Source organism: Homo sapiens, chromosome 15, assembly GCF_000001405.40.
Source record: "Homo sapiens chromosome 15, GRCh38.p14 Primary Assembly".
Taxonomy (NCBI): Eukaryota; Metazoa; Chordata; class Mammalia; order Primates; family Hominidae; genus Homo; species Homo sapiens.
In genome coordinates this window covers 81,696,949-81,705,125 of record NC_000015.10, presented here as the reverse complement: position 1 = coordinate 81,705,125, position 8,177 = coordinate 81,696,949, and the positions used below count along the sequence as shown (strand labels likewise).

The window sequence follows — 8,177 nt, the reverse complement described above, 5'->3', positions numbered from 1 at the left end:
TTAGGATATCAACTATCCTATGAAAGGATTATCAAAGAACTATCAAAATCACAGAGCTGGGAAGTTACCGAGTTGGGGCTGGAATCCCAGGCTTTCTATCCCAGGGCTGAGCTCATCCCCATAGTGTTATTCTGTCTCATAACATAGGAGACATATTTAGGGAAAGCAGCCACCCAAAAGTAAGATAGAACACAAGGGACCTGTAAGCAACTCCTTCACTGAAATGAGCCTGGGAGTGTGAAGAGCAGAGGATGGAGAGCCTTGCTTCTGAAGGCCTTGGTCACACCCTCACACTGTTCAAAGTGGAAGAGACTCATTAACTTTTTATCATTATATAAGATACTACTTATTTCTTTAAATCTCACCTCAACCCCCAAAACTGAAAGTTAGCAGGAGAACACTTTTGGCCAATAAGAAAACAGAAAATAAAATTAAAATGGTAAATTCAGTTTCCTGCGATATTTCAGTTTTATGCAAAGACAGTGAGTGGCTCTTTGAAACTCATAATAAAACTTTTAAACATCCCAGAAATATCTTTAAAAACATAAATTTTACTGTTTATCTTTCCTTTTATAAAATGGTACATGTTTGTTATGGAAATTTTAGAAAAAGGACAAAATTATACAGAAAAAAATGAGAAATCCTTTATATTCATGCAAGCAACAGAAACCAGTTAGTATGTTGTTATACTGCTTTTCAAATTTATTTCTATATAGTTTTATTTTTGCATATTTTGGTTTGTAGTCATATTACACATAAAATTTTGTACCCAATTTTTCCCTTTAACTTTATGTGTTTGGCATTTACCTCTTATTATAAACCCTGCATGACAGCTCATTTAAAAGTGAGTTAGTAATCGCTTGAGCAGACATATGGCAACTTAAGCAACTTTTATCCCATTGATGAGATTTGTAGGTTGTTTCTAATTTTTCCCCTTTGTAAAGAGTTCAGTGAACTTTTTGGCTCAAATATTTTTGATTATATATCAGCTTGTTTGGATAGATGTTATTTCAAATGATATAATGATTTGATGCATTTGCCAAATATCTTTCTAAAATAATTAATAATTTGGAAGCTCAGAGCACTATGCTCTCCCAATAATTCTATAATAAATTTATCAAAGCCACAATTTTCATCAAGATAGCTCTGCATGTAGATTGACTAATTACTGTTGTTTCCTTATCAGTGGTTCTACAGTTCAGCTCTTTATGAAGATGTGACGGTTAACGAGAAACTGATTAAGTTTGTATCTGTGGATTAGATAGCAGCAAGACTCTAGATATTTGGTCCTGAATAAAATAAGGATGCGTTTCTTTTGCATTTGCTGATAATATTTGTTTAGCTTGCCTTGTATGTTAAGATTTTACTAATTCATTAGTAAGAAAGATTTCACACATACACACACTCTTCATTATAGAAATTTGCAATAAAAATTCCAAGGAGTCCCTCCATTTCATTTATTGCTATTTTATCTTAATTTTATCATAGTTTCCAGAAAAAACATTTAAATTTCTTATATTATTATTATTATTATACTTTAAGTTTTAGGATATGTACCTATGCTCTAAAAATATTTGTACATACCCTAAATATATGTACATGGCGTGCAGGTTTGTTACATATGTATACATGTGCCATGTTGGTGTGCTGCACCCGTTAACTTGTCATTTAGCATTAGGTATATCTCCTAATGCTAACCCTCCCCACTCCCCCCACCCCACAACAGTCCCGGGTGTGTGATGTTCCCCTTCCTGGGTCCATGTGTTCTCATTGTTCAATTCCCACCTATGAGTGAGAACATGCGGTGTTTGGTTTTTTGTCCTTGCCATAGTTTGCTGAGAATGATGGTTTCCAGCTTCATCCATGTCCTTACAAAGGACATGAACTCATCATTTTTATGGCTGCATAGTATTCCACGGTGTATATGTGCCACATTTTCTTTTTTTTTCTTTTTTTTATTTTTTATTATACTTTAAGTTTTATGGTACATGTGCACATTGTGCAGGTTACATACGTATACATGTGCCATGCTGGTGCACTGCACCCACTAACTCGTCATCTAGCATTAGGTATATCTCCCAATGCTATCCCTCCCCCCTCCCCCCACCCCACCACAGTCCCCAGAGTGTGATGTTCCCCTTCCTGTGTCCATGTGATCTCATTGTTCAATTCCCACCTATGAGTGAGAATATGCGGTGTTTGGTTTTTTGTTCTTGCGATAGTTTACTGAGAATGATGATTTCCAAGTTCATCCATGTCCCTACAAAGGACATGAACTCATCATTTTTTACGGCTGCATAGTATTCCATGGTGTATATGTGCCACATTTTCTTAATCCAGTCTATCATTGTTGGACATTTGGGTTGGTTCCAAGTCTTTGCTATTGTGAATAATGCCGCAATAAACGTACGGGTGCATGTGTCCTTATAGCAGTGTGATTTATAGTCCTTTGGGTATATACCCAGTAATGGGATGGCTGGGTCAAATGGTATTTCTAGTTCTAGATCCCTGAGGAATCGCCACACTGACTTCCACAATGGTTGAACTAGTTTACAGTCCCACCAAGTGTGAAAGTGTTCCTATTTCTCCACATCCTCTCCAGCACCTGTTGTTTCCTGACTTTTTAATGATTGCCATTCTAACTGGTGTGAGATGATATCTCATTGTGGTTTTGATTTGCATTTCTCTGATGGCCAGTGATGATGAGCATTTTTTCATGTGTTTTTTGGCTGCATAAATGTCTTCTTTTGAGAAGTGTCTGTTCATGTCCTTCGCCCACTTTTTGATGGGGTGTTTGATTTTTTTCTCGTAAATTTGTTTGAGTTCTTTGTAGATTCTGGATTTGTTAGATGAGTAGGTTGCGAAAATTTTCTCCCATTCTGTAGGTTGCCTGTTCACTCTGATGGTAGTTTCTTTTGCTGTGCAGAAGCTCTTTAGTTTAATTAGATCCCATTTGTCAATTTTGGCTTTTGTTGCCATTGCTTTTGGTGTTTTAGACATGAAGTCCTTGCCCATGCCTATGTCCTGAATGGTAATGCCTAGGTTTTCTTCTAGGGTTTTTATGGTTTTAGGTCTAACGTTTAAGTCTTTAATCCATCTTGAATTGATTTTTGTATAAGGTGTAAGGAAGGGATCCAGTTTCAGCTTTCTACATATGGCTAGCCAGTTTTCCCAGCACCATTTATTAAATAGGGAATCCTTTCCCCATTGCTTGTTTTTCTCAGGTTTGTCAAAGATCAGATAGCTGTAAATATGCGGCGTTATTTCTGAGGGCTCTGTTCTGTTCCACTGATCTATATCTCTGTTTTGGTACCAGTCCCATGCTGTTTTGGTTACTGTAGCCTTGTAGTATAGTTTGAAGTCAGGTAGTGTGATGCCTCCAGCTTTGTTCTTTTGGCTTAGGATTGACTTGGCGATGCGGGCTCTTTTTTGGTTCCATATGAACTTTAAAGTAGTTTTTTCCAATTCTGTGAAGAAAGGCATTGGTAGCTTGATGGGGATGGCATTGAATCTGTAAATTACCTTGGGCAGTATGGCCATTTTCACGATATTGATTCTTCCTACCCAAGAGCATGGAATGTTTTTCCATTTGTTTGTATCCTTTTTTATTTCCTTGAGCAGTGGTTTGTAGTTCTCCTTGAAGAGATCCTTCCCATCCCTTGTAAGTTGGATTCCTAGGTATTTTATTCTCTTTGAAGCAATTGTGAATGGGAGTTCACTCATGATTTGGCTCTCTGTTTGTCTGTTGTTGGTGTATAAGAATGCTTGTGATTTTTGTACATTGATTTTGTATCCTGAGACTTTGCTGAAGTTGCTTATCAGCTTAAGGAGATTTTGGGCTGAGACAATGGGGTTTTCTAGATATACAATCGTGTCGTCTGCAAACAGGGACAATTTGATTTCCTCTTTTCCTAATTGAATACCCTTTATTTCCTTCTCCTGCCTAATTGCCCTGGCCAGAACTTCCAACACTATGTTGAATAGGAGTGGTGAGAGAGGGCATCCCTGTCTTGTGCCAGTTTTCAAAGGGAATGCTTCCAGTTTTTGCCCATTCAGTATGATATTGGCTGTGGGTTTGTCATAGATAGCTCTTATTATTTTGAAATACGTCCCATCAATACCTAATTTATTGAGAGTTTTTAGCATGAAGGGTTGTTGAATTTTGTCAAAGGCTTTTTCTGCATCTATTGAGATAATCATGTGGTTTTTGTCTTTGGCTCTGTTTATATGCTGGATTACATTTATTGATTTGCATATATTGAACCAGCCTTGCATCCCAGGGATGAAGCCCACTTGATCATGGTGGATAAGCTTTTTGATGTGCTGCTGGATTCGTTTTGCCAGTATTTGATTGAGGATTTTTGCATCAATGTTCATCAAGGATATTGGTCTAAAATTCTCTTTTTTGGTTGTGTCTCTGCCCAGCTTTGGTATCAGAATGATGCTGGCCTCATAAAATGAGTTAGGGAGGATTCCCTCTTTTTCTATTGATCGGAATAGTTTCAGAAGGAATGGTACCAGTTCCTCCTTGTACCTCTGGTAGAATTCGGCTGTGAATCCATCTGGTCCTGGACTCTTTTTGGTTGGTAAACTATTGATTATTGCCACAATTTCAGCTCCTGTTATTGGTCTCTTCAGAGATTCAACTTCTTCCTGGTTTAGTCTTGGGAGGGTGTATGTGTCCAGGAATTTATCAATTTCTTCTAGATTTTCGAGTTTATTTGTGTAGAGGTGTTTGTAGTATTCTCTGATGGTAGTTTGTATTTCTGTGGGATCGGTGGTGATATCCCCTTTATCATTTTTTATTTTGTCTATTTGATTCTTCTCTCTTTTTTTCTTTATTAGTCTTGCTAGCGGTCTATCAATTTTGTTGATCCTTTCAAAAAACCAGCTCCTGGATTCATTGATTTTTTTGAAGGGTTTTTTGTGTCTCTATTTCCTTCAGTTCTGCTCTGATTTTAGTTATTTCTTGCCTTCTGCTAGCTTTTGAATGTGTTTGCTCTTGCTTTTCTAGTTCTTTTAATTGTGATGTTAGGGTGTCAATTTTGGATCTTTCCTGCTTTCTCTTGTGGGCATTTAGTGCTATAAATTTCCCTCTACACACTGCTTTGAATGCATCCCAGAGATTCTGGTATGTTGTGTCTTTGTTCTCGTTGGTTTCAAAGAACATCTTTATTTCTGCCTTCATTTCGTTATGTACCCAGTAGTCATTCAGGAGCAGGTTGTTCAGTTTCCATGTAGTTGAGCGGCTTTGAGTGAGATTCTTAATCCTGAGTTTTAGTTTGATTGCACTGTGGTCTGAGAGATAGTTTGTTATAATTTCTGTTCTTTTGCATTTGCTGAGGAGAGCTTTACTTCCCAGTATGTGGTCAATTTTGGAATAGGTGTCGTGGTGCTGAAAAAAATGTATATTCTGTTGATTTGCGGTGGAGAGTTCTGTAGATGTCTATTAGGTCTGCTTGGTGCAGAGCTGAGTTCAATTCCTGGGTATCCTTGTTGACTTTCTGTCTCGTTGATCTGTCTAATGTTGACAGTGGGGTGTTAAAGTCTCCCATCATTGATGTGTGGGAGTCTAAGTCTCTTTGTATGTCACTCAGGACTTGCTTTATGAATCTGGGTGCTCCTGTATTGGGTGCATATATATTTAGGATAGTTAGCTCTTCTTGTTGAATTGATCCCTTTACCATTATGTAATGGCCTTCTTTGTCTCTTTTGATCTTTGTTGGTTTAAAGTCTGTTTTATCAGAGACTAGGATTGCAACCCCTGCCTTTTTTTGTTTTCCATTGGCTTGGTAGATCTTCCTCCATCCTTTTATTTTGAGCCTATGTGTGTCTTTGCACGTGAGATGGGTTTCCTGAATACAGCACACTGATGGGTCTTGACTCCTTTATCCAATTTGCCAGTCTGTGTCTTTTAATTGGAGCATTTAGTCCACTTACATTTAAAGTTAATATTGTTATGTGTGAATTTGATCCTGTCATTATGATGTTAGCTGGTGATTTTGCTCGTTAGTTGATGCAGTTTCTTCCTAGTCTCGATGGTCTTTACATTTTGGCATGATTTTGCAGCGGCTGGTACCGGTTGTTCCTTTCCATGTTTAGCGCTTCCTTCAGGAGCTCTTTTAGGGCAGGCCTGGTGGTGACAAAATCTCTCAGCATTTGCTTGTCTGTAAAGGATTTTATTTCTCCTTCACTTATGAAGCTTAGTTTGGCTGGATGTGAAATTCTGGGTTGACAATTCTTTAAGAATGTTGAATATTGGCCCCCACTCTCTTCTGGCTTGTAGGGTTTCTGCCGAGAGATCCGCTGTTAGTCTGATGGGCTTCCCTTTGAGGGTAACCCGACCTTTCTCTCTGGCTGCCCTTAACATTTTTTCCTTCATTTCAACTTTGGTGAATCTGACAATTATGTGTCTTGGAGTTGCTCTTCTCGAGGAGTATCTTTGTGGCGTTCTCTGTATTTCCTGAATGTGAACGTTGGCCTGCCTTGCTAGATTGGGGAAGTTCTCCTGGATAATATCCTGCAGAGTGTTTTCCAACTTGGTTCCATTCTCCCCATCACTTTCAGGTACACCAATCAGACGTAGATTTGGTCTTTTCACATGGTCCCATATTTCTTGGAGACTTTGCTCTTTTCTTTTTATTCGTTTTTCTCTAAACTTCCCTTCTCGCTTCATTTCATTCATTTCGTCTTCCATTGCTGATACCCTTTCTTCCAGTTGATTGCATCGGCTCCTGAGGCTTCTGCATTCTTCACGTAGTTCTCGAGCCTTGGTTTTCAGCTCCGTCAGCTCCTTTAAGCACTTCTCTGTATTGGTTATTCTAGTTATACATTCTTCTAAATTTTTTTCAAAGTTTTCAACTTCTTTGTCTTTGCTTTGAATGTCCTCCCGTAGCTGAGAGTAATTTGATCGTCTGAAGCCTTCTTCTCTCAGCTGGTCAAAGTCATTCTCCATCCAGCTTTGTTCCGTTGCTGGTGAGGAACTGCGTTCCTTTGGAGGAGGAGAGATGCTCTGCGTTTTAGAGTTTCCCGTTTTTCTGTTCTGTTTTTTCCCCATCTTTGTGGTTTTATCTACTTTTGGTCTTTGATGATGGTGATGTACAGATGGGTTTTTGGTGTGGATGTCCTTTCTGTTTGTTAGTTTTCCTTCTAACAGACAGGACCCTCAGCTGCAGGTCTGTTGGAATACCCTGCCGTGTGAGGTGTCAGTGTGCCCCTGCTGGGGGGTGCCTCCCAGTTAGGCTGCTCGGGGGTCAGGGGTCAGGGACCCACTTGAGGAGGCAGTCTGCCCGTTCTCAGATCTCCAGCTGTGTGCTGGGAGAACCACTGCTCTCTTGAAAGCTGTCAGACAGGGACATTTAAGTCTGCAGAGGTTACTGCTGTCCTCTTGTTTGTCTGTGCCCTGCCCCCAGAGGTGGAGCCTACAGAGGCAGGCAGGCCTCCTTGAGCTGTGGTGGGCTCCACCCAGTTCGAGCTTCCAGGCTGCTTTGTTTACCTAAGCAAGCCTGGGCAATGGCAGGCGCCCCTCCCCCAGCCTCGCTGCCGCCTTGCAGTTTGATCTCAGACTGCTGTGCTAGCAATCAGCGAGATTCCGTGGGCGTAGGACCCTCCGAGCCAGGTGCGGGATATAATCTCGTGGTGTGCCGTTTTTTAAGCCGGTCTGACAAGCGCAATATTCGGGTGGGAGTGACCCGATTTTCCAGGTGCGTCTGTCACCCCTTTCTTTGACTTGGAAAGGGAACTCCCTGACCCCTTGTGCTTCCCAAGTGAGGCAATGCCTCGCCCTGCTTCGGCTCGCGCATGGTGCGTGCACCCACTGGCCTGCGCCCACTGTCTGGCACTCCCTAGTGAGATGAACCCGGTACCTCAGATGGAAATGCAGAAATCACCCGTCTTCTGCGTCGCTCACGCTGGGAGCTGTAGACTGGAGCTGTTCCTATTCGGCCTCTTGGCTCCTCCCTACCTTTTGAATGTATCTTTTTTACTCCTAATATTGTTTATTTGGGTTCCCTCTCTGTTTTCTTGGTGATTATCACCAGAGTTATGTCAAATTTATTAGATTTCTCAAAGAACCACCTTTTGGCTTTGCTGATCCTTTTCATTTAATTTAATTTAGTTTCCATTTATTCAGTTGTTTTTTTCTAATTTGATAAGTTTATGCTTTGCTGATGGTTATC

At 40.2% G+C, this 8,177-nt stretch overlaps 1 annotated feature.

The window, feature by feature from the left end:
• Positions 7,022-7,662: an enhancer, noted in NCBI's record as "NANOG-H3K27ac-H3K4me1 hESC enhancer chr15:81989805-81990445 (GRCh37/hg19 assembly coordinates)". NCBI's record gives its function as "activates a minimal SCP1, AML or CMV promoter by ChIP-STARR-seq in naive H9 embryonic stem cells {active_cell/tissue: H9 hESC(naive)}" and the evidence as "EXISTENCE:reporter gene assay evidence [ECO:0000049][PMID:30033119]".